At 42.8% G+C, this 26,583-nt stretch overlaps 1 protein-coding gene across 1 annotated transcript in view, besides 3 other annotated features; it reads right to left on the bottom strand.

The window, feature by feature from the left end:
* Positions 1 to 26,583, bottom strand: part of LRRK1 (leucine rich repeat kinase 1) — a 158,901-nt gene that overhangs the window by 92,600 nt on the left and 39,718 nt on the right. Inside the window, exons 3-4 of the mRNA NM_024652.6 lie at positions 11,691 to 11,854; positions 1,959 to 2,130 (exon numbers count right to left, since the gene is read on the bottom strand). Coding sequence (NP_078928.3) covers positions 1,959 to 2,130; positions 11,691 to 11,854 — 336 coding nt within the window. The remainder of the gene's footprint in view (positions 1 to 1,958; positions 2,131 to 11,690; positions 11,855 to 26,583) is intronic.
* Positions 4,543 to 4,592: an enhancer, noted in NCBI's record as "active region_10181". NCBI's record gives its function as "activates an Ori minimal core promoter by ATAC-STARR-seq in GM12878 lymphoblastoid cells {active_cell/tissue: GM12878}" and the evidence as "EXISTENCE:reporter gene assay evidence [ECO:0000049][PMID:35858748]".
* Positions 11,882 to 11,931: a silencer, noted in NCBI's record as "silent region_6882". NCBI's record gives its function as "represses an Ori minimal core promoter by ATAC-STARR-seq in GM12878 lymphoblastoid cells {active_cell/tissue: GM12878}" and the evidence as "EXISTENCE:reporter gene assay evidence [ECO:0000049][PMID:35858748]".
* Positions 12,382 to 12,471: an enhancer, noted in NCBI's record as "active region_10180". NCBI's record gives its function as "activates an Ori minimal core promoter by ATAC-STARR-seq in GM12878 lymphoblastoid cells {active_cell/tissue: GM12878}" and the evidence as "EXISTENCE:reporter gene assay evidence [ECO:0000049][PMID:35858748]".

The raw sequence follows: 26,583 nt of genomic DNA, 5'->3' as shown, positions 1-26,583 counted from the left end.
AGCAGGCAACCCAAGTCCTTCCTTCACTTGTCTGCCAAGTAAACTCCTATTCACTCTGCAAAGCCCAGGTCAGATGTCAGCCTCCCTTCGGAGACCCTACCCTGCCCCCTGATGTGTGCTCCCAGACCTCTGCGTAAAAATACTTCAACCTCAGTGTAGTTACATTGCACAGTGTTACTCCTTTCTGCCTCAATTTCCCCTGCTTGGCCAGGAGGTACTAAATGGCTGGGAAAATCTTTAAAAAAATTATCTGTCTCTCACGTTCTACACAGTTTTCAGCACTTGACAGTATTCAATAAATATTAGCTAACATTAGGTGACGGAGTCAGCTGGTGCAGACTCTTCAGGGCTAGAACAGAGCTAATCTTGGGGCTCCCCGAGAAGAGGCAGGTCAGCCTTTGGCTCCTCAGGAGCACCCAAGCTCCTCTCTGCCCTCCTATGTCTTGTCTTAGTATGCTTCTCATGGGCCCTAAAATTGCCCTGATTTCTGCCCATAACCTCATTCTGTTCAGACACATGAGGGGAACACTAGCTTGGAACCAACGCTGAGCACAGATCTATCAAAGCCCACAGCTGGAAACCCTCAAACAAGACCACTATATAAGGGGTGAGGCCCAATGCAAAATGAAAAGAATGGGGCTTCTTGTTTAAAAATCATGAAACATTTTAAGATAGTGAGTACAGAGTATTAAACGTAACGTGGGCCCTTCTAGGTGCAGGGCCCTGGGTGACTGCATGTTCTCCCACCCAAGAGGTGGGCCCTGGCTCCCAAGCAAAATCTCAAATCCCAAAGACCATGGCTAGGGTGTGCCTCACCCTATAGCTGTAGCGATGCCTGCCTAGACTGGTGCAGTGTTTCTGAGCCAAGACCACCACGGGAAATTACAGGAGACCAGGACATCTTGAGTTCACCAGAGAAAAAAATAGTTCCTACAAAAGCAACATAGTGTGGTACACCAATACAATGGAATATTATTCAGCCATTAAAAGAAATGAGCTATCAAGTCACAAAAAGGCATGGAGAAACCTTAAATGCATATCGCTATGGGAAAGAAGTGAGTTTGAAACGGCTACAGACTGTGGGATTCCAACTAGAGCGATGTTCTGGAAAAGGCAAAGATAGTAAAAAAGATCAGTAGTTGCCAGGGGCCAGGGGAGGGAGGGAGGGAGGGAGGGATGGGGCCAGGGGAGGGGTGGAGCACAGAGGATTTTTAGGGCAGTGAAACTGCTCTATGTAATACTGTCATGATGGACACGTGTCATTATCCATTTGTCAAAACCGATGGGATATACAACAGCAAGAATGAATTGCAACGTAAGCGATGGACTTTAGTTAGTAAGAAGGTATCAATATTAGTTGATCAGTTGTCACAAATGTCCCACACTAACACAAAACAGAGTTATAGGGAAAACCATGTGGAGGGCGCACAGTGGAGGGTCACCTCTCTGAGCTTTGTTTTCGTCATCTTAAAACCATGGTTCTGAAATATAGCACCTGCCTCCTGAGACTGATGCGTCCCCATCTCAATAGAAGTTACTAGCATGATTACTGTCTCTCTTACCTAGATATTCTTGTGTAAGTGATTTAGCGATCACCTGTTTTCTGTTAACATACCTCCAAATCATTAATTCTGGAACTCCGTACATTCCAATTGATTTTTTCCATAAATCTAAAACTTCTCTAAAAAGACCAAGGTCTATTAATTATTTTTTTAAAAAGCAATGTTAATTACATTCTTTATGAAATATGGTGTTTGAGAATTTCCCTTATGAGTTCATGGGAGTGAGAGGTGGAATGTGGCTGGCAGGCAAGCTTCACTTTGTTTGGGTGTCAATGGCCTACCCTGTATTTCTTGATCTCATTATTGGTGAAAGCATGAAGAAGTAAACATTTTGGGGTGAAGCCTAAGAAGAGGGTGCCCTGAGACACGGTTAAGAGCTCATGCCCTGTGATTTACCTGGTAAGGACTCAAGCAATTCCTGCACAACTGCCGTGTGTCCAAAATACGCTGCCACCACGGCTGGGTTGTCATCCGTGGGCTCGGTGGGCAGCTCCACCAGTCTCTTGCTGAGTAGGTAGCGGACCATCTCCAGATCCCCATAGGCTGCCGGGATGCTCAGAAGCTGGCCCTGGTCAAAACAGAACAGGGCTCCAGTGAGACTGGCTCTATTAGGAACTGCCAAGACAACTGACGTTAAACCCTTCACCAGGTCCCGGAGCAGGACTGGAGTTGTGTTGTCCAGAACGGCAGCACCTGCCAAGTGTGACTGGGCAGCACTTGAAATGTGGCTCCTCAGAAGTGAGAGGTGGAGAGTATAAAATCACACGTGAATTCAAAGACCTAGTACAGAAAGGGTAAGCTAGCTCATCAATAATTTATGTTGATTACATGTTGAAACAATGATTTTAATATATTCATGTTAAATAATATTAACATTTTATTTGTTTGTTTCTGTTTGCTCCTTTATTTTATTTATTTTTTTTGACAGGGTCTCTCTCTGTTACCCAAGCTGGAGTGCAGTAGTGCAATCTCAGCTCACTGCAGCCTTGACCTCCCAGGCTAAAGTGATCCCCCTGCCTCAGCTTCCTGCGTAGCTGGGACTGCAGGCACATGCCACCACACCGGCTAATTTTGTTTATTTTTTTTGTAGAGACCAGATCTTGCTATGTTGCCAGGGCTGGTCTCGAACTTCTGAGCTCAACTGATCCTCCAACCGGAATACCTGTGATTATAGGTGTGTGCTTGTTTACTGCTTTAATGTGGCTACTAGAAAATATGATATATACATGTGGCTCGCATTTGCTGCTCTCGACTACCTGCTTCATGAGGAAGGGGACGGTGTGCATAGCCCCTTCTGGCATAGAGCCAGAGCTCAGTAACCACTTGGTACATGTTAAGTCAGCCTTGCGAAGGGGGAAGGGAACCAGCTCTCTGAAGAACCATCCTGCAATGTATTCATAAATGGAATGTGACACACCAGGGGACTTCACAGATCTGAATCCTGGGACAAAGATCCTCCAGCAGCATGCAGAGGGACTCTTGACTTGGTGGCCCAGAGGAAGGAAAGGATATGGTGGAAACTGGACCTAAGCCTGAGTTCCTGCTCATTCCAGTCCTTCTGGTATGTAAAGGTCCCAGGAGGAGGGCCATGTGTTAATATATGAACAAGGATGTGGAGGTTCAGAGAGGCTTCAGAGCTTGCCCAAGACCACATAGCTAGTAAGTGGCTATCATTGACCAGTGTAAAAGTGGCCTTGACTTATCACGAGCTCTCTGGGTCTGAGAAAAGGATGCTCAGATAGCTGCTAGATTGGCATGTCAAGTGTTTGATTGCGTTTCTGAAATGTCAAGTCCTTTGGAAGCTGGCTGCCTCCTGTGGGCTTGAACATCAGTGTGGTCAAGCAGGTAGATGGGGATCCCCTATTGGAATGGGATGGCCAGTGTCCCCCATCAACACCTACTGAGGATCTACTGTGTGTGAGAGTGGGACTGGGGACTCAGGATGACAGGGATGGCGAGTGCCCCCCATCAACACCTACTGAGGATCTACTGTGTGTGAGAGTGGGACTGGGCACTCAGGATGCCAGGGATGGCGAGTGCCCCCATCAACACCTACTGAGGATCTACTGTGTGTGACAGGTGGGACTGGGCACTGAGGATGCCAGGGGCCATTTCTGGCCTCCACAGATTTACAATTAAGTTTGAGGTGGGAATATGCATAAACAGCCCCCGACAAGCACATTTGACTTGCTGAATAGTTTATAACACAAGTGTGTTTGGAGATCATTTTAGGTAAGTTGGGCAGGAATGGGTAAAATGGAGCCCCCAGGAAAGGGAGTGAACATTTATCAAAGCTCTCACCAGGTGCCAGATGCTGGACTGAGTACTTTATTCACATGGCCACATTCAATCCTCCTAACAGTCATGCCAGGAATGTGCCTGTATTTCTATGTTATGGAAGAGGAAATAAAAGCTTGCCCATGGTTAGGGAGTTTATCATCAGCAGAACTACTCAGAGTTTGAACTGGGATGTGTCTAGCTCTAAAGCCCAAGAGTCTCTGTTGCATCCAAGACTTCCTGGAAACATGGGACTTGGAGGAAGGCTCAGGTTCTGTTAGTGGAGTGAATGGGCTGGCAGTGGGAGGTATGTCTGACACGTGAGGAGAGGAACAGTCTAAGGGGCTGGGATCAGGTGAAGGACGGTAGACTCATACATTCAATATGATCAGAAAAGAAAAGCCCACCCACCTGCCACTCTGCCCAGGGTGAGGCCCAGTAGCCCTGTCATTCCAGGAAAGCATTTGCATTATGGATAAAAGCCACAGTGATTGATTAAATGCTTCACTGCCCACAACTAACAGCTGTCTAGACTCGGTCGGTTAGAGGCTTAAAAGCCCCATCCTCTAGAGGTGGTAAGTGACGTCATAGGAGCCAGCCCAAGGCCAAGAGGGACCCAGACAGTGGAAAAGGTGAAAGCTGGCTTTCTGGCTGGAGGCTCCATAGTGAGTATTTGAAAAAATTCAAACAGCATAGAAAAGTATAAAACAGGAAGTAGGCCTCTCTCTATGCCTTTACCTCCCAGTCGCCCTCTGCAAAGGATGCCTTCCAGAACATATTTATTTATAGTACTCACAGGTAATCTCATATACAACCAAATGCTTTTTTCACTTAATTCATTATGACCTTTTAATCAACAATATAACACACCTGCACACCTGCAGAAAAATGCAAATATTTTAAATGTTCAGTTTCATGCAAGGCATTTGAATACACCCATGTAACTGGCCTCAGTCCAAAGACCAGGACATCACCTGTGCCCAGAAGCCCTCTTTGTTCCTTCTAGTAACTGCCCTATGGTGTGTAGCCACTATACTGACTTCTAACACCACAGATTAACTATTGCCAGTTTTTAAGTGCTGTAAAAGTGGAATTATACTTTACCTATTTTTTTTTTAACTTTTTGCTTTGAAATAATCAGAGATTCACAGGAAGTTACAAAGATAGTACTGAGAAAACCCTAGTATCCTTCATCCAGTTTCCCCCGATGGCAATATGTTACATAATTGTAGCAAGATACTTGACGTTAGTACAATGTATGTATATAGTTCTGCATTTTGTCACACATGTAGACTTGAGTAGCCACTACCACAATCAAGATACGAACCTGTTCCATCACCTGTTCCATCAAAAGGTCTCCCTCATGCCACGCACCCATGGTAGTCTCACTCATTCTCTTCCTTTTCACCATCTCTAACCCCTGACAAACACTAATCTCTCTTCCACCTGTAAAATTTTGTCATTTTGAGAATGTTACATAAATGGAATCATAGAGAATATGATCTTTTGAGATTGGCTTTTTTTTTTTTTAAATCAGCATAATGTCCTGAGATCCATCTGAGTTGCTGCGTGTTTCAGGAGAGCTCCTTTGTATAGCTTAGTAGTACTCCATATATGTTTAAGTATCCACTTACTGAGAGTCTTTGGTTGTATCCAGTTTTGGGCCATTACAAATAAAGTTGGTATGACACATCATGAGCAAGTTTTCATGTGCATGTAAGTTTCCTCTCTCTAGACTAAATGTTCAGGAGTTCAATTGCTGGTTCATAAGTGTATTTCTAGTTTTTTTAAAGAAACTGACAAACTAGTTTCCAGCGTGATTGTACCATGTTACATTCTCAGTGGCAACACATTAGAGATACCCCTTCTCTGCATCCCAATCTGAATTTGGTACTGTCACTATTTTTTATTTTTGCTGTTCATAAAGCTGTGCAATGACATCTTATCATTGCTCTAATTTTCATTTTCCTAATGGCTAACGATGTTGAACATCTTTTCATGTGCTTATTTGCCATCTGTGTATCTTCCTCAGTGAAATGTCTCTTCACATATCTCATACATTTTCTATTTGGATTGTTTGCTTTTTCATGTTGAGTTCTGAGAGTTCTTTATATATTCTAGCTATGAGTCCTTTGTCAGATAAGTGATTTGTAAATACCTCTCTCAGTCTGTAGCTTTTTTTAGAATCACTGTCTTAGGTATTTCTCAGAGAAAAGTTTTTAATCTTGGTGAGGTCCAGTTTACCAATTTTTCTTTCATAAATCATTTCTTTTATGGATTTTCTGTATAGATTGTCATGTGATCCACACATAGAGACAGTTTAATTTATTTCTTTCATATCTGTGTGCCTTTTATTTCATTTCCTTGCCTTCTTGCATTGGCTAGAATTGCCAGCAATATATTAAATACATTGAATAGTATTTTTTAAATACAATGATATTATAGTTGCTCTTGAATAGAACTTGCAGTATTATATTGAGAATGGACATTCTTGCCTTGTTCCTGATCTCAGGGGAAAACAGTCTTCAACATCAAGAATGATGTTAGTTGTAGGTTTTTGTCAATATTCTTTACCCAATTGAGGAAGTTCCCTCCTATTCTTAATTTTCTAAGAGTTTTTGAAAAACATGGTATTGAATTTTGTCAATTTTTTTCTGTATCAATTGATATGATAAGGTAACTTTTCTTTTTTAGTTTATTAATAAGGAGGATTACATTGATTGATGATTGAAACTGAAGCAACTTTGCATCTCTGGAATAAATTCCACTTGGTCATGGCTTATAATTCCTTTTACATATAGCAGAATTGTACTTGCTAATATTTTGTGAAGAATTTTTGCATCCACATTCATAATGGGCATTGGTCCGTACTTTTCTTTTTTTAACACTGTCTTTGGTTTTGGTGTCAGGGTAATACAGCCTTCATAAAAGTGTTAAAAAATGTTCCCTTTTCTATTTTCTAGAAGGGACTATGTAGCATTGGTATTAATTCTTTAAATGTTAGGTAGAATTATCCAGTGAAGCCATCTGAACCTGTAAATTTATTTTTTGGGGAAGTTTAAAATTATGAATTGAATTTTCTTAATAGTTAAAAGGCTATTCAAATTATGCATTTCCTATTAAGTTGAGGTAATTTCTACTTTTCAAGGATTTGTCCCTTTCATCTAAGTTGTCCAATGTATGTGTTTAGAGCTGTTCATAATGTCCCCTTATTATCTTTTTGATATCTGCAGGATCTGTAGTGATGTTCTGTGTTTCCCTTCTGACGTTGGTGATTTTTGTCTTTTGGATTTTTTTTCCCCTAAAGGCAATGTTTCCCTTTGACTACTTCCAAGGTTTTATTTTGTTTTGTCTTTAGTTTTAATAAGCTTGACTATGATGAGCTTGGAATGGATTTCTCTGGGCATATCCTGTTTGTTTTCAACTTCTTGAATCTGAACATTTATGTCTTCTGCCAGTTTGAGAAGCTTTCAGCCATTGTTTCTTTGAGTTCTCCTTCAGTCTTGCCTTCTGTCTAGTCTCCCGGGATTCTGATGACATGACTGTTGGATCTTCTGTTAAAATCCTCACATGTCCATGAGGCTCTGTTCTTTTGTTCAGTCTATTTTCTTTTGCTTTGGCTTTTGTTCCAGAGTGGGTAATTTCTACTGTTCTGTATTCTCCCTGATTCTTTCCCCTGTCCTCTCTTCTCCATTCTACAGTTGAGCCCATTCATTGAGTTTTTTTTTAATTTTAAAATTTCAGGTATTGTACTTTTAAGTTCTAAAATTTTCATTTGGCTCTCCTCATGTCTTTTATTTCTTTGCCGAAACTTTCTATTACTCCATTTGTTTCAAGTGTATTTATAATTGCTCACAGAAGCATTTTTATGATGACTGCCTTCAAATCCTTGTTAGATGATTCTAACATTGGAGTCATCCTAGTGTTGGCATCTCTTGGTTGTCTTGTCTCAGTGAGTTTGCGATCTTTCTGGTCTTGGTAATTACGAGTAATTTTTTATTGTGGCCTGGATATTTGGGTCTTTATGTTTTAAGACTCTGGATCTTACTTCAATCTTGTGTGTTGGCAGGTCTCCTCTGACGCCACTCTGGTGGGTAAACAGGGATGCCCCTTCATTGCTGCCTGGTGGGGTGGAAATCTGGGGGCTGTACTTAGAATCAGTTGACACCCAGTAAGCAGGGGCTCCTTGCTATTGCTGGGCAGCGTTGGGACTTCAGGTTCTCCTCTAGGCCTGCTTCAATTCTGCCCTAGTTAGATGGGGAATGCATGTCTCATTACTGCCAGGCTGGGTGGTGACAGAAGTCCAGGCTCCCCACATGCTGTCCACTGATGGTGATGGGGGATGTTGTCACCACCTGGTGGGGATTAGCACCCCAGCTCCTCACAGCCTTCTCTGACACCGTGGGGTGGGGATGATTGGGGTGCCTGTTACAGCCTGGCAAGGGTGGAAATCTAAGCTCTCCACCTGGCCCTTGCTGGTGAGGGGTGGGGCTGGGCTGCAAGTATATTTCTTCAGTGTTTTGCCGAAGAGGGTTGTTGACTGCCTGTAAGTTTCCTGCCTGGCTTTGCTGTTCCTTTCCTGGTGCTTTGGTTGGAGAGAGCAGGCTTTCCTTGGAATTTTTTTTTTTTTTCTCTGTGCCAGTTTGTGTTTCTGGATTGCCAACTTCCTCAGTATCTGGTTTGGGATGTATGAGATACAAATAAAACCCAAAAACGTACTATTGTGATTTCCTTGAGTACTGAGGCCACCAGCTACTCTGCCTTCTTTTCTCTACCTTTTAGAATCCTACGTTTGTTTTACATGTAACGTCTAGAGCTTCAGTGCACTTAGTGAGAAGAAGAGGGCAAAGTAAACAACCTCCATATTCCCTCCATCTTCCCGGAAGCAGAAGTTCTGCACTTATTACATTAAGTTACACTGGAGTTCTTTCCAAAACAGCTGCTAGAGATTATCTTGTCCTTTTGGAGTGCTGTGTGGTATTCTAGGACCAGGACAGACTGAGATTTCTGTAGCAGCCTTCTCCTGTGGATGGAACAGTTAGGCAGTTTTCAAGGTTGTTCTATCTTAAACACAACTTGAATGAACATCCTTACACATACAAATTGGTAATTTTTTTTCAAGTAAATCTGTAGGGGTAAGTTCCTAGCAGTAGTTTTGCTGGGTCAAAGATAATGAAATTTGAAAATTTGACAAGCATTTTCAGATGGCCTTCCAAAGAGGCTGCACACATTCCTAGTACCTTCCTAGTAGCATTGAATAAAGGTGTGTAAGTTCCCATAGCCTTCCTTCTGATTTTTATCAAACTTTAAGGTGTCAATCTGATTAGCTTAAAAAGGCTGCTTCATTTTTGTTTTATTTGCCTTTCTATACGCATTAACGAAGTTGAATAACTTTACATATGTGTACCATCTATCTGAATATCTTTCAGATGTGTGTGTGTCTATTTGCCTATTCATATCCTTAGTCATTTTCATTCCAGGTACTGTTCTCACCTACTCTTGGTATTGAGGTTGTGTTAGCTTCATTAAAGGAACAGGTGAGTGCACCCTCTTTTTCTATTTTCTGGACAAGTGATTATATTATTGGTAGAACACACCAGTAAAACCATGTAGACCTAGAATTTGCTTTGTCAGAAGGTTTTACATGATTGATTTATTTCCTTCATGGTTGAAAGACTATTCATGCTTTCTGTTTCTTTTTAAAGTTAAATTTTTCTTTTTATTTGTTCATTTCATCTAAATTTTTGAGTGTTTTAACATAAACTTGTTCATAATACATTCTCTTATTATGTTTTTAATGCTTGTATAAACTGTCATGAAGTTCTCTTTTATATTCCTGATTTATCTATTTCTTCTTTTTTATCTTTTACTCTCACCAGAGATTTTCTATTTTATTAATCTCTTCAAAGAACCAATTTTTGATTTAGTGGTCATTTCTACTTCTTTCTACTTTGCTTTCTATTTCAAAACTTTCAAATTATTTTTACAGTTTCATGGCTTCTACTTTCTTTACCTTTATTTTGCTGTTTCCATGTCCTGCTGCCCTTTTGAAAATTATGTTATTATTTCATATTGATTTGTAAAAGCTCTTTGTCAATGAAGGGTATTAGCCATATACTTTCTCCTTTTGCATCAACCGTTGACTCTTATTTATGGTATTTTTTGGAACTATAATTTTACATTTTTATGAAAACACAGATGTATCCATCCTTTTCCTCACTGTCTTCTCAAAGTCCAATCAGCTGGGATTTCATCAGTCCTGTATTCAGGGGAGAGGCAGCTTTCTAGGAACCTTCTCGATTTTGAGTTGCCACTGTCCATGATGCCACAGAGAAGAGACACACACCCTGGACTCTGTTTTCCTTTATTCAAATATGGGCCAGAGTGCTCTTTGCCAAATTATGATGCCACTGCCTTTAACAGCTTTTCCACCCTCAGGATGAAGTCACATCCCCCTTGGCTCTCAGGTCTCTCCATGATCATCTTCCCCCGTCAGCATCTCCTGCTGCTGCCACATCCCTGAATCTGCACAGCTCTGGAATGAGCCACTATCTCTGGCTGCTTGGCCACTTGGCAGGGATGCCAGGCTGTGTTTGCTGCCCAGCTCCTCCCTGCTTGAGGCCACTGGGGTGCACCCGAGGAGCCCACAGCTCTGACCTGCTCGTGTGCACAGCGCAGCTCTCTCTGTGCAGAAGAATGATCCTTTTCCATATCCACCATGAATTCCTAATCAGAGGGATCTTAAATGCCTTCCTTCTGCTTAACAATTCCCAAGCATGCTGTACTGCCCCTCTCCCAATCTCTTACACTTCTGAGAACAGGTTGGAGTTTTAGGAATTGAATGAATTCTAACTATCAATTAAATGGAGGCATGTTAAGCCTGTCCTAATCAAAGTGATGCAAATAAAACATCCTTAAGGTATTTTCATGATAATAGCCAGTAAGAAGCCCCCACAGGGGCAAAAAATGTGGTGATGGTCCACTCCAACTTTTGCTGGGAGGGTTAATCTGTAGAAGATTTTTGGAAAACAGCTTGGCATGTATTCCAAAACTTTAAAAGTCCTCATATCCACATTCTCAATCCCTGCAGATCTATGCTAAGAAAATAACATTACCATAAGAAAAGAATGAGGCAAAAACATTCAATAGAGCATCGTTTATATTAGTAAGAGATGAGAAGCAATCCTAATATCAGCCAAGATGAATAGCCAGGTAGACACGGTCCCTCTAGATGGAGTGTCACGTAGCCATTGAAGGAGACGCCTACAAGGAATTTTTAATCATCTGGAAAATTCTTAAAATAATGTTATAAAAGTACGAGCAGCAGCTGCATCACCATATATGCAATCTGTCTGCATCTATATTAGAAACAACAACAACAACCATGTATGCTCAGATCGGCAGGCTGGAAGAAAATACAGCAAAACTGTTAAGTGGGTTTTAGGGTGTATCAGGAATTTGGTAACTTTTTTGTCCCATTTTTCCTACTTTGACATATTTTCTAAATTTTATTTTTCCAGCATGTGCTACTTTTTATAACGACAAAAACGTAAAAGAATAGAGTAGGTTAAGCCTCTGGGTGGCATTTTGTTCTTTACATTTAAGTGACCACACCCCCGTCCCTCAAAGGCCTCCCATGAAAAGGTGGCAGGGGCCTGCTTAGGTGATATCAGACTGAGAAGTCAGTTGGAAAGGAAAGGCGCCCACAAGTTTATACGCAAAGCGAGGCGTTTCCAGAACACAGTAAAAACGCCCATTACCGTTATGACAATAACGAGAAAATCATCTGAGCGGTCCCCTTCGTCCAGCCCGGGGCTGCATGGGTGGCCGCAGGGGCAGGCGCTCCCCTACCTTTTCCAGCTGGGACGCGCACTGGTCGCAGGCCTCCTCCAGCAGGTCCCGGGCGCCGCCGCGGTCTCCCCGCCTGTACGCGGCGCGGATGCCTTCCGTCCTGCGGGACCGCGCTGCAGGGTCACCGCCCCGCGTGGACGGCTTGCCGCCCGTGTCCCCGGCACCTGCGCGGGAGGAAGCACACACACACGGCGTCACCGCCCACTGCCCGCGTGCTCTTGAGAATCACCGTGGAACACAGCAGGAGGCGGCGCGGCCCGTTGCACGATCGCGGGGGCTTCAGGAAGAGAGAGGGGTGGCCCCGCGACGCTCCCTGCGCTCGCCGCCCCGCGACCCGCAACCCAACCGGGGCCGCTGCGAAGGCACCGGGCGGCGAGCGCAGCTCGGAGGATTCTGCAGCGAGACCGCCACCTGGAGCCCTTCCAGGGCACCGGGGACAGCGGCCCGCGGGGGAGCGGCCGGGCCGACCTCGCCGACAGCAGCGGAGGCGCAGGGGCTTTGGCGAGAGAGCCGCGGGTCTCAGCCACGCTGTCCCGCTGCGGTGCCCACGGGGGAAAGACAGGCCACCTCCCGGGGGTGTGGACATCCAGACGCTTTCCCGCCCTGCCCAGAAAACCCCACGAAGGGCGTGGGATTTAAATCAGCCGCCCTCACTCCAGACCTGCCCTGGCACGAACGCGCTGCGTAACGATGGGGGACGACACCGGGCCTCGGGTCGCGCTGCTTCACCAGAGCGTGGGCTGCTCCCGGTCATCCGAGCACCTGCTGCCACTCGGGAGGAGAGGCCAGCCTTGCGGGAGGCCGCGACCCAGCGCCCGGGCCGTTCAGCAAAAGCGGCGGTCACTCACGGGGCGGCCACGGCAGGCCGAGCCCTCGCTGGGTGCAGGAGGAGCCGAGGGAAAGGAAGGCGGCCTCTCGCCCTCCCCGAGCTTCCACTCTAGAAGGGGTTCACAGTGAGGGCCTGTGGACCCCGAAAGGCTGACAGGCTTCCGAAGTTCCCTGAACACCCTAAAATTGTACACAAAACTGGGTGTGTGTGTGTGTGTGTGTACAGTTTTTCGAGGACAAAATTCAAAGCTTCTACCAGATTTCCAAAGAGGTTAGGGAACAACAGTAAAAAGCTTTCTCTCCATAGGTATTACGGAAAGACTGCGATGGATGAGCAGTTGAATTCTGACTGTGTGGAGTGATAGCAGAAATAGGGAAAGAATACTGTTGTGAAAGGTGACCAAGCAAATTGGGTTATTGTTTTTACACCCAACTAAAACGGAGCTGAGAAGCCAAGAAGAAAAAGCACTCGGGGCATATAACATGACTCCAAAAACATGATTCTCTACAAGTCCGACTACTAAAAATGCCTACCACAACTAAAACCAGTTTTATCTAATAACTACTAAAACGACTTTAAAACTAGCTTTACCCACAACTGTCACTCACCCATCATAACTTGCCAACTCTCCAAAACCTTGCTAATACTAATAAGTTTTCTTGAAAAACACACATAACATTTCTCCTTTTTATTACAAAACTGCCAACCTTCTCTTTATTCTTCAAACATACCAAAACACACACACACACACACACACACACACACACACACACACTCTCTCTCTCTCTCTCTCTCTCTCTCTCATATATATATATATATATCCCAAATTACAATTCTTATATCCCAAGAAAACATTAGATTTTAAAATCCTTTTGAGGCTGGGTGTGGTGGCTTATGCCTGTAATCCCAGCACTTTGGGAGTCCGAGGCAGGCAGATTACTTGAGGTCAGGAGTTCGAGACCAGCCTGGCCAACATGGTGAAACCCCGTCTCTACTGAAGACACAAAAATTAGCCGGGTGTGGTGGCACGCGCCTGTAATCCCAGCTACTCAGGTGGCTGAGGCACGAGGATCACTTGAACCCAGGAGCCTGAGGTAGCAGTGAGCTGAGATCGCACCACTGCACTCCAGCCTGGGTGACAGAGCGAAACTCTGTCTAAAAAAAAAAAAAATTCTTTTGTCATTTGCAACAGCCAGGGATGGAACTGGAGGTCATTATCTTGAGTGAAATAAGCAGGCACAAAAAGACAAACATTCCATGTTCTCACTTATTTGTGGGAGCTAAAAATTTGATCCCATGGAGGCAAAGACTGGAAAAATGGGAAAAACAGCTAACAGAGACTGAGAAGGGTGAGTGTCGGAGCAGGGAGGACGAACAGAAGTGGGTTAAAGGGTACAAGCATACAGTAAGAAGGAATAAATTCAATGTTTGATAGCAGAGTAGGGTGACTATAGTTAACAAAAATGTACTGTATTCAGGTGATGGACACCCTAAATGCCCTGACTGGATCACCACATACTATATACACATAACAAAATGTCACATACACCCCACAAATGTGTACAAATAAAAAATAAAAATAAAAATTCACCTCTACATTTTTATTTTGACTTCAACACTATCATCCTTGGCCAAGTTCACGCAGCCAGTAGAGGCAAACTGGGACAGAAGTTTGGTCTCCCAGCTCTCAAGCTAAACCCAACCCATCTTTGTGCTGCCTCTCTGAAAGGATGAATAAGACAGGCTTTGGATTGATTTTCTTCTTCTTTTTTCTTTTTCTTTTTCTTTTCTTTTTTTTTTTTTTTGAGACACAGTTTCACTCTGCTTCCAAGGCTGGTGTGCAGTGGCGCGATCTCGGCTCACTGCAATCTCCACCTCCCGGGTTCAAGTGATTCTCATGCCTCAACCTCCTGAGTAGCTGGGATTACAGGTGCACGCCACCAAGTCCAGCTAATTTTTGTATTTTTAGTAGAGATGGGGTTTCACCATGTTGGCCAGGCTGGTCTCAAACTCTCGACCTCAAGTGATCCACCCACCTCAGCCTCACAGAGTGCTGGGATTACAGGCGTGAGCCGCTGCGCCTGGCCTTGTTTTTCTTTTTAAATGTAAATGCATAGCACGGTTGGCTCACAAACATACACCTCACAAAAATGAATCACATAATAGCAGTTAACATTGAAAAATTGAAAAAATAGTTTATGATAGTATAAAATTACATTCTTAGAAAAAAATGTAACAAAAGATGGGCAAGATCTGTACGCTGAAAACATAAAACATTGCTGAGAGAAATTGAACAAGACCTAAATAAGTGGGAAGACATCCATCTTCAAGGATTGGAAGAATCAGTACTGTTAAGATGTTAATTCTCTTTGATTTTATCTATAGATTCAATAATCCCAACTATGATTCCAATAGGGTCATTTTTGCGGGATAGAAATTGACAGTCTGATTCTTAAATTTATATGGAAATTTGAAAGACCTAGAATAGCCAAAGCAATCTTGAAAAAGAAGAGAGTTGGAGAATGTACACTACCTGATTTCAAGACTTGGAAAGGATGGAGTTGGAAGCCATTATCCTTCCAAAAAACAAACTACAAAGCTATAGTAATCAAGACAGTATGGTACTGGTATAGACAAATGGCTCCAAGGGACAGAACAGAGGGTTGAAAAATAGACCTGTGCTTGTACATTCAATTGATTTTTGACAAGGGAGCCAAAGCAGTACAATGGGAAAAGCAAAGTCTTTTCAGTAAAAAGTGCTGGAACAACTGGACACCCTCATTTAATAAAAAGCAGCCCTGACCCCTACTTCTCACCATATACAAATATCATCTTGAGATGGCACACACATGTTCATTACAGCACTATTTACAATAGCAAAGTCATGGAATCAACCCAAATGCCCATCAGTGATGGACCGGATAAAGAAAATGTGGTGGCTGGGTGCGGTGGCTCATGCGGTGGCCCATGCCTATAATCCCAGCACTTTGGGAGGCCAAGGCAGGTGGATCACCTGAGGCCAGGAGTACGAGACCAGCCAGGCCAACATGGTGAAACCCCGTCTCTACTAAAAATACAAAAAATTAGCCCAGCGTGGTGGTGGGCACCTGTAATCTCAGCTATTATGAAGGCTGAGGCAGGAGAATCGCTTGAACCTGGGAGGCAGAGGTTGCAGTGAGCTGAGGTAGCACCACTGCACTTCAGCCTAGTCAACAAGAGCAAAACTCTGTCTCAAAAAAAAAAGAAGAAAAAAGCAGAGAAAATATGATACATATATACACCATAGAATACTATGCAGCCATAAAAAGGAATAAGATTATCACTTTGCAGGGACATGGATGGAGTTGGAAGCCATTATCCTCAGCAAGCTAACACAGGAACAGAAAACCAAATACCACATGTTCTCACTTATAAGTGGGAGCTGACCAATGAGAATACATGGAAACAAGAGGGGAACAACACACACTGGGCACCTGTGGTGAGGGAGGGTGGGGAAAGAGCATAAGGAAGAATAGCTAATGGATGCTGGGCTTAATACCTGGCTGATGGGATGATCTGTGCAGTAAATCCCCATGGCACATGTTTACCTATGTAACAAACAAGCACATCCTGCTCATGTACCCCTGAACTTGAAAAAAAAACTTGAAAAAAAAGAAAAAATAACTGAGATGAATCATGGACCTAAACATAAAGGCTAAAACTATGAAGCTTCTAGGAAAACATAGCGGAGATTATCTTCATGACTTGAGAGTAAGTCTTTACTTACTTTCTTACATGGGACACAGAAAACAATAACCAGGAAAGGAAAAATTGCTAAATTAGGCTTCATCAAAATTTAAAACTTCTGCCCCTCAAAAGACCCCATTTAAAGTTAAATAGGCAAATTATAGACTACAATAACGTATTTTCAAAACATATCTGAAAATAAATGGTATCTAGAATATAAAAACTCGTATAACTCCATAATAAAAAGACAAACAATCCAATTGAAAATGAGCAGGCTGGACCTGGTGGCTCACACCTGTAATCCCAGCAATTTGGAAGGCCAAGGTGGGTGTATCCATTGAGCCTAGGAGTTTGAGACCAGTCTGGGAAACAAGTAGACCCTGTCTCTACAAAACATTTTAAAAATTAGCCGGGCATGGTGGTGCACACCTGTAGTCCCAGCTACTCAGGAAGCTGAGATGTAGGAGGATGGCTTGAGCCCAGGAGGTCAAGGCTTCAATGAGCTGTGACTACACCACTGCACTCCACTGGCCTGGGTGACAGAACAAGACCCTGTCTCAAAAAAACAAAACAGAAGGAAGGGAAGGGAAAGGAAGGGAAGGGGAAGGGGAAGGGGAAGGGGAAGGAAAGGGGAAGGAAAGGGGAAGGGAAGGAAGGAAAGAAAGAAAGGAAAAGGGAAGGGAAGGGAAGGGAGGAAGGAAGGAAGGAAGGAAGGAAGGAAAGAAAGAAAGAAAGAAAGAAAAAGAAAGAAAGAAAGAAAAAGAAAAGGAAGAAAGAAAGAGAGAGGGCAAAGATTTAAACAGCAAAAAAATATTCAAAAAGCTCAATGTCATTAGTCATCAGGGAAATGCAAATTAAAACCACAATGAGATACCACTATGCTCTCACCAGAATGGCTAAAACTGTAAGGCCAACACTACTTGGTGAGGACATGGAGCAACCAGAATGTTCATACCTTACTGGCTAGAGTGCAAAATGGTCCAATCACTTTGGAAACAGGTCTGGTGGTTTCTTATAAAACTACATGTATACCTACCCTGTGACCCATAAATTCCATTCTTATCTAACCAAGAGAAATATGTCCAGAAATGTATCCAACAATATTCACAGCAGCCTTATTCATATTTCCAAACTGTAAATAGCCCAAGTGTCCATCCACAGGAGAATGAATAAACAAACCGTGGTACAGTAACTACTCAACAATAAAAAGGAAGGACCGATTGATCTATGGAAAGACTGATAGCAATCTCAAAAAAAATAATGCTGAGTGAAAGAAACCTTGTACAAAAATGATTCCATTTATATGCTGTTCTAAGATATAGTGAAAAAAAATCAGAAGGGTGGATCGTGGCCATATGGTAGACAGTGAGTTTTCCTGTGGATGGGGCACAAGGACATCAGTTTGGTGGTTCTATATCTCACTGGAGTTTTCATTACACAGTTGCTGTATTTGTCAAAACTTATCAAGCAGTCCATTTAAGATATGTGCATCTTACTTTATATATATTTTACCTAAAAAAACTACAAACAATATTGAACCTTAGTCCATACTATGCATGCTACAGTATTTAAGAGTGAAGTGTACAGATGTTTGCAATATGCTTTGAAATGCATTAAAAATGAGTGGATGGTTGGATAGAAAGGCAAGAGAGAAATTTTGGAAAGTGTTAATGGTGTGATCTGAGTGGTAGGTATATGAATATAGATGGTTCAATTCTTTCTACTTTAGTGTATGTTTGAAATTTTTCATAACAAAATGTTGGGAGAAAATATGAGTCCTAATGTCTATACTCCAAATGCATGGCTTGCCATATGACACAAGGTATGAGCTCTTGCCACCAAAGAGCTCCCTTTGGAAAATCCTGCTCCCAGGAAAAATCCTGCTCTGCAGAAAGAAAAAAGGCAAGCTGCTTACGGAGCAAAGCCCCTAATACCAATCCAGGGTCTTTACAACTCACGCTAAGCCATGACTTGCTCCATTTCAAAGGCAATCGTCCTGAAAATCCAAGTAAATGGATGACCATCACACACAATCTGTATCATTCCTGAGATGCCAACACAGAATTGCTGTGTCTGAGTGGAGATTATTGTGTCTTGGCTGTGTGCTTTTGAAAAGAGGAATCGGGAAAAGGCTTGGTGTGTAAGCGGTTATACGTGTGAATAAGGCAGCTTCACTTCCCAACACACATTAACAGTCACCATTAATTATTTACAGGCAGAGCCCCTGGGACATGTGAGAGCAGGCCAGAGGGAGAAAGGCCATTAGCAGGGCCCAGAAGGAATAGAATCAACTGCTGTCATCCCTCAGATGGGGGCACTTAATTATGTCATTGCTTGTCTCTCAGAATTAAACAAATACCCGCTTATCCAGTAAAAGACATGTGCAGGTATGTGTATGTGTGAATGCACAAGCAGGTATGAAGTAGCCTCTTCTGTCCATGTTAGGAACATACATACAAACAGCTAAACCTTTAAGCCCAAGTTAAGGGACATTTTGAAGGTGGAACTTAGGGCATATGTAGGCCATAAGGTGCCCATGAGATTACAAGGGTGATTTAACTTGATTTTTCAATCATGCCTTGTGTGTGGAGTAAATGATGTAATAAGAATCTAGAACCTGCTCAGTTTTCTTTACATTATAAAAATGTTGTGGTGTTTATCTGTTTCGACTCTGACTTTCTTAAGTTGCAGGGTGACACCATATCCACTCTCACCGACCCTGTGGGCTGAGGGTCTGGTCCAATCAAGTTGTTGGAAGGACATTAGGAAAAGGCACCAGTTAATGCGTATGCATTTAATTTAATCTGCCAATCTCATTTAATTTCCTGAAATTATACAGAGAATGGTTAACCTTTATTTAAATTGAAAGAAAAAAGACCCAAATGCTTTGACCATAGTGAGTATTAGGCATGGGCCATGGGGGACTTCATGACAGAACTAGAAAAGATTTTTCTTCTTTATTTCCCAAGACCTGCGTGATGGGAATATATGACTGCTTCATTCAAAACTTTACAGACACTACAAAAGTAATGAAAGAACACATTCTCACTGAAAAAAAATTAAATAGTTCAGAAATAAATATAAAGGCAAAAGCCCCTCCTCACCGCCACAGAAAACAATAACCAGGAAAGGAAAAATTGTTAAATTAGGCTTCATCAAAATTTAGAACTTCTGCACCTTTTCCTAGAGATAATACTTATTTAGTCATTTTTTTCTCCAAAATACTATTGTTTTGTATTTGAGAATTGGTAACTTTTGATTTAAACTTAAAATGTAGGAAACACATTTATACTATTTGAGATTATTCAGTTACTTGTGCTTATTCATCAACTATTATCCATAATTATATTCTTTTATACAGTAAAATATCTCAGTTCTAAATATTTTCCTCATAAAGATTTCAAATTCATATTAAAAAATAAAATGGAGCAAACATTCTATTTCAATAACACATTAATGTCCCAAATAAGTAGCTAGAGCTAGTAGGAAAATAATAGTAGAACATTGCTATAATGCAGTTTCAAATTTTAGAAAATCCTTTTGGTTCTCTAAATTATAATTTATGTCATTATTTTCATATATGGTGATGAAAATTTCCAAATTTTCAGGCATCTTACTTGCTTTTAATGTAAAGCTAATACATTCCAATGAAGTATTTAACGAAGTAAAGGAGGAGAAGGATAAATGAATAGCACCAGGGAGATTTTTTTTTTCAGGTTTGGTTGGTGTTGCTAGTTTGATTTTTAAAGGCAGTGGTTAGAAGTAGGAACTGGTTAGGGAAAATGAAATTATAAATGCAGTGAATAGCTAGGGTTATGGAGTCAGCACATGTGCAGCCATTCAAGATGACAAGAAACATTTACAATAAGCTCTGAGCTTGTAAGTGAACATATTTCTGGTTGTTGATAAGTGTTAGTCTTCACTGTATGCTGGTATTTCAATGTGCCGGCCATGGATGGTAAGTTAAAGTTCCTACATAAAGAAGCATTTGGTTAGAAAAAACATAAAATATTTAAAAACCTGTAGGACCTGAACACCATTTAGTTCTTGATAATTGCTTTCAATTTAACATACTATTTTTAAAGAAATACCTTCAGTGATACTGTGTGTTTCACAGTCAGCCATTTCAAGAAGAAGTGATTTTAGCTGCCAATAACTCAGTCTTTAAACATCATTTCCATAACTCATGTTTCAGAAAAAACAAATTATTCTAATTACAGAAAAACTAACAGAAATTATTTTTCTTTTTCAGTATTCTGAAAGAGTAATAAAACAGAATTCCATGAATATGACAGAGTAATGCTGGCTGTGACAACCGTGTCTCTGACGGCAGGCAGCTCACTGTTCTGCAGGTACACCTTGAAAGACACCGCCCCAGTCTGTCCATCCCTGGTTCTGTCTGTCCTTATGTTCCAAGGAGACAGTCTTACATTTTGTTCCAGAGCAATAATTGTTAAGTCATCACTCCTGTCCCAATCATTGGAATAAAATTCTCTTTGTACTGTTTTTTTTCCCTACAAATCTAGGAAAATAGAGAAAATGAAATGAAAAAAATGGCTTTAATTATGTAAGTTCTAAATGTTGGCCTCATGTGTGTGTGCGCGCATGCGTGTGCACGTGTGTGTGTGTGTATTTCTCTTCTCCCCACCAAGGAAAACACTTAGAATAAAAGGCAAATGTTTTTGGTCAATCTGAAGTGTGTGACATCCTCTGTAAATCTTAGAAAAGACACTGCCGTTTGATTTGCATATCCATGACTTTATTTTATTGCATTTGCCTCCGTCAATAGAGCAGCAAAAAGTGAAAATGATCTACCAGCCCACAGCTCATTGCAGAACAAACAAAAGTAAACTTCAGGATGCTACTGACCTGGTCATAGTTGTTTAACGACCTTCCTGTGCCACTGAGTCCCCATGTGGCCAAAGCACCAGGGAAACGGGGCTGGCCTTCCCGGGAGGTGACACCCTCCTGGCACTTTGGGGGCTCGCCCTCTGTTGCCCTAGCTTTGCCAGCCTTCCACTGGAAGGATGCTTCTTTTTTCACCAGATATCACTCTAGCGTTTCAGCATCAGCAGCCGTTTACATCTCTGGGTCATATTACGGTGAAATCCAACCCTTGACGTCTTTGGGAAAGATGTGGAGGTTGGGGGTGTGCAGAGGAGGGAGGGTCACCCAGCCCCGGGGTGATCTGCGGTGATAATTCCTCTCCAGATGGTGGGTGCTCAGGGCCATTGCACCCATCACCCAGGCCCTCCACCCGCATCAGACAGGAAAGCAAAAGCCAGGGCCGGGCTCTGCGGGCTCTCACTAACAGTTCTGGCCCAGAGGCTAGCATTTCTCACTGCAGAAATGCTTCACGGCATAGATTACCATTTTGTGGATATACTCACCAAATCACTAGGAATTTTTGTTAATAAGAGGGAGATGGATGGTTATACATATAGACAGGTTGGTCTCCTGGGGGAAAATTGCATGGAAAAGTGCTATTTGCTTTAGTAATAAAAATATAATTAATCACAAGATGCTATGTTATGTCCACCTGACACAGTAAAACATTGAAAGGCTTATAACATTCCTTGCTGTCATGAGTGTGGGGAAATGGGTGCATCCTCTGGTCCATTGGCCATCGTGGGAGGCCTTGCCAACCGGATGGTCATTTCAGAAAGCGGGAGGGCAGTACTACATAACAAAAGCGGGAAGTCGGCCTGTTCTCCCACGGTTTTCTCTTCTAGGCATTTCCCTACAGAAATGACACGGTGCACACTAAAAGACTACTCCCGAGCCAGGACTTCTGCAGAGGTCCCTGCCACAGCCGAGGTAAGAGCAACTCTGCAGACAAGCGGCCCAGGCCAAGGATTAGGGAGTGGTGTAGAGCAGGGTGGTGCCCAAGGGCCAGCACAGGCCTGGGGACTGGACTCACGTCACTTAACGTCTACAGCAGCGCTAGGAAGGAGGTGACTCTGCTGCCATTTTACAGAGGAACAAGGCCAAGACAGTGACACAGGTTCACAGAACAACAGCGCTGGCAACGAGCAGCCGGAGGGGAAGCATCCTGACGCTGGGGCCCACAGAGTCGCTGCTACTCGGCTTTCTAAGTTAATACCTGCTGGTGCTTCAGAATAAGGGGCTCGGATGCGGCCATCAGAACCTATGACAATGAAGACTAAGGAGAAGGGTGAAAAAATGCTTACCAGCTATCAAGCTAAAAGTAGAACATAGGACAGAGGCCGTGACAAACCACAGGAAAAACACAGAACACAGATGGACACCATTTAAAAGTACGCAAAATGGGCTGGGCGTGGTGGCTCATGCCTGTAATCCCAGCACTTTGGGAGGCCGAGGCCGGCAGATTACCTGAGGTCGGGAGTTCAAGACCAGCCTGGCTAACATGGCGAAACCCCATCTCTACTAAAAATACAAAATTAGCCAGGCATGGTGGTGCATGCCTGTAATCGCAGTTACTCAGGAGGCTGAGGCAGGAGAATTGCTTGAACTCGGGAGGTAGAGGTTGTGGTGAGCCGAGATTGCGCCATTGCACCCCAGCCTGGGCAATAAGAGTGAAACTCCATCTCAAAAAAAAAAAAAAAAATATATATATATATATATATATATATATATGCAAAATGAAATAATTTATTCTAGGTTCTCTGATTATTTGTGATTAAAATCCTTTGAGAAAAGGTCCCTAATGAGTCTATGAATATAGATAATACATACAGTCTATTATTTTTGTTTGTAAAACCTGAACCTGACACTCTTTTCTCCTCCCTCTCCCTGTCTCTGTTTAGAAAGAAAATCTAAAGGACACACAAAAATTACAGTAGCCGTCCCCTTCAGCAGATGAAATGACTGGAGTTTTAAAATTTTATTTATTTATTTATTTAAGACAAGGTCTCACTCTGTCACCCAGGCTGGAGTGCAGTGCTGTGATCTCAGCTCACTACAACCTCTGCCTCCCAGGTTCAAGAAATTATTATGCTTCAGTCTCCCGAGTAACTGGGATTACAGGTGTTTGCCACCACGCCCAGCCGATTTTTGTATTTTTAATGGAGACAGGGTTTCGCCACATTGGCCAGGCTGGTCTCGAACTCCTGACCTCAAGTGATCCACCCGCCTTGGCCTCCCAAAGTGCTGGGATTACAGACATAAGCCACCATGCCCAGCCTGGAGTTTTAAAAATATTTCTATTTTTCTGTGTTTTTCAATATATTTTTTGCAGTAACTTGTATTGCTGCTGAAATTAAGAAAAAAAAATTAAAAGATGAAGTATGTCCAGCAAAATGTTAACTGTGTTTCACCCTGGCTTAGTGAACCAGTTCTTCAGTGGTATTATCTATATTGAAGCAACTGTTTGCTCTCAATCTACCGAATCTTGACTCAGTTGCTCTAGAAAAAAGGATGGAGAGCAAGGAAGTCTCATGGAACAAAAATTGGCACAGGTGTCCCAGATTTTGAAAGATAAAATAAAATGGTTTATAATAATGTTTCATGTATTGGTCATTGGTGCCATTTATTGAGTCCTGCCGGATGCTGTAGAAAGTGTCCTGCGTGCATTTGACTTCCTCCCAACACCCATACAAGGCTAGGCTTCTCATCATCACTCACCACAAGGTGACCAGTGCCCTGAGTGGTTAGAGAAACTTCCCCCACCCAGCTCCCAACAACAGAGCTGAGATTTGGACCCCCAGCACCTGCCATCAAAGCTCATCCTCTGCTTCCTAGGTTGTGTGTTCCCAACTGCTATGGTTTTTTTTTTTTTTTTTGACGGAGTCTCACTCTGTTGCTAGGCTGGAGTGCGGTGGCGCGATCTCGGCTAACTGCAACCTCTGCCTCCCAGATTCAAGTGATTCTCCTGCCTCAGCCTCCCGAGTAGCTGGGATTACAGGCACGCACCACCATGCCCGGCTAATTTTTGTATTTTTAGTAGAGACAGGGTTTCACCATGTTGGCCAGTATGGTCTTGATCGCTTGACCTCGTGATCTGCCCGCCTTGGCCTCCCAAAGTGCTGGGATTACAGGCGTGAGCCACCGCGCCCAGCCACCAACTGCTATGGTTTTAATGTCCCCTCCAAAATTCATGTTGAAACTTAATCCCCATTGTAATGGTATTAGGAGTTGCAGCCTTTGGGACATAATCAAGATTGGATAAGGTCACTATGGTGGGGACCCTGTAATAAGACTGGTGGCTTTATAAGAATAGGAAAAGAGACCTGAGCCAGCACACTCAGGCCCTTTGCCATGTGATGCCCGGCACCACCTCAGGACTCTGCAGCCAGTCCCCACCAGCAAGAAGCCCTGACCAGATGCAGCCCCTCAGCCATAGACCTCCCAGCTTTCAGAACTGTAAGAAACAAATTCATTTTCTTTATAAATTACCCAGTCTCTGGCATCCAGTTATAGCAACAGAAAACGAACTAAGACAACAGCCAAACATGAGACTCTTATTCAGCACCTAACATGCATGGCAGAAATGTGGGAACGAAAACATGAGATGACCCTGTCTCATTAGATGGAAAAAACGGAGAGGAAATGGAAACCAATCCCTCCATTAATTTTCTGCTGTAGAAGAAGAGAAACACAGAAATACAAAGCTATGAAGATGAATTCTTTCCTAGATTTTGTTCCTCTTCCAAAAATTCATTTATTTATTGCTCATTCGTTCTACAAATATTTAGTACCTCCTATGTGCTGAGCTGGACCCTGGGGACACAGCTTGCTGAGACACACAGAAAGAGCTCAAGTGCGCTGCTACAGTATTTCCAGAGTTTACTTTCAAACACCCACAACAGAAACCATGCCCTTTACCCAAAAGGGGATGCTTGAGGGACTTGGGAGAGCCAACAGACAAAAACTGACCTGGTAAAAAAAGGAGAACCATCTTTTTGGAAAATTAAAAATCACATAAATAGGACAGTTCATTTATTTAATACTCAGTAATACTATAGAAAATGGTACAATTCGAAGATAAACACACACACACAGTCAGTCCTACTCCGATTTTGGGGAAGATGATTGTGATTATAAATACTGGAGGATTAGGACACCCTTTGACATTGCCACGTTGCTTCTGGGAAACTGATTCCAAAAGAATAGTTCTACACATTTAAAAAGCACTATGCAAAAAAAAAAAAAAAAGCAATATGAACGTAGATGCTGATTGCAGCACTGTTCAGTAGAGCAAAGAACGGTGATTTTGACAATTATAATGCACAGACCCTGGAACTACACAAACAGGAAAACTGTCAAGGAGGAAGCCCCCAAAACGATAACTCTGGTTTTTCTTACGTGGCGGAATTCAAGGTGAACTTCTCGAGACCCTTTTCTCTATTTTCCAGTTATTTCTCTATTACTACTATAACAACATTGTTATATTAAAAAAAATGCTTTTCAGGTTGACAAAGTACATTTGCTAACTGGATTTAACTTCCTCCCAACAAAAATGAGTGCAAGGAAAGGAAGAAAATGTCTCAATCTGAAAGGAACATTTAGGATGAGGCACCGAGAGTTTTCCAATCATGCCATCTACTGAGAACTGTGTGAAAACCCGCAGTTACAGGAAGAACTGAACTCTGTACATTGGAAGACTTGGTTTCAAGCCCCAGCTGTGCTATTTGACATAGCATGGTGTTTGGCAAGTATTTAAGATGTCTGAATATTATCATCTTCTTGTAAAAGAAAATGGCACATATAAAAGATATTGCACAATGCATATGAATAAAAAAATACATACACAAAGAGAAGCGGTGAGCACACAAATGGGGGTGATTTCCAGGAGGCCTGGCCCCTTCCTCCCTACTCCAGGTGCCTGTGAGGCTGCCAGACTGCACTCTCATTTCCTCTATGGACCAAGCTTCCCTTAGCTTTTGTTCCTGTGTCTGCCTTATCTGGAAGGAGCCCTTACGCTTTCCATGCTTCTCGAAATTCTCCTCCTTCTAGCCTAGCGCAGGGGTGCACCCCAGAAAGGACTTGCAGAATTTCCCAGCGGGCTGCCTCTCCTTTCTCCGCCTGCACGTGGTCTGACCTGGGTCCTGGACTGTCCCCTGCAGAGTAGGTCTGCCAGCCTCCTGCTCTGCCCAGGGCTGCCCGCAGGCTGGGTTCTGCTTACTCACTGCCGTGGGTGCCTATCTAGACTGTATCACTGAAAGCCTCTCCACTTCAATTTGTTGACCGTCCAGAGCTCTCTGCATATTAGTAAGGGGGTCGTCTATAATTTTGCCCATCTACAGTTACGGCCACAGGGGTACAGAATTCTCCCAGCAAAAGAGGAGGAGAATGATGCCTTCAGGCACTTCTAAATTTTCCTTTCCAAGAATGATTTTCTTTTGGCCACTCAGCCAC

The sequence above is a fragment of the Homo sapiens genome, chromosome 15 (assembly GCF_000001405.40).
Source record: "Homo sapiens chromosome 15, GRCh38.p14 Primary Assembly".
Classification (NCBI taxonomy): domain Eukaryota; kingdom Metazoa; phylum Chordata; class Mammalia; order Primates; family Hominidae; genus Homo; species Homo sapiens.
Note: the sequence above shows the minus strand (reverse complement) of the source record. Positions and strands in the feature narration are given on the sequence as shown.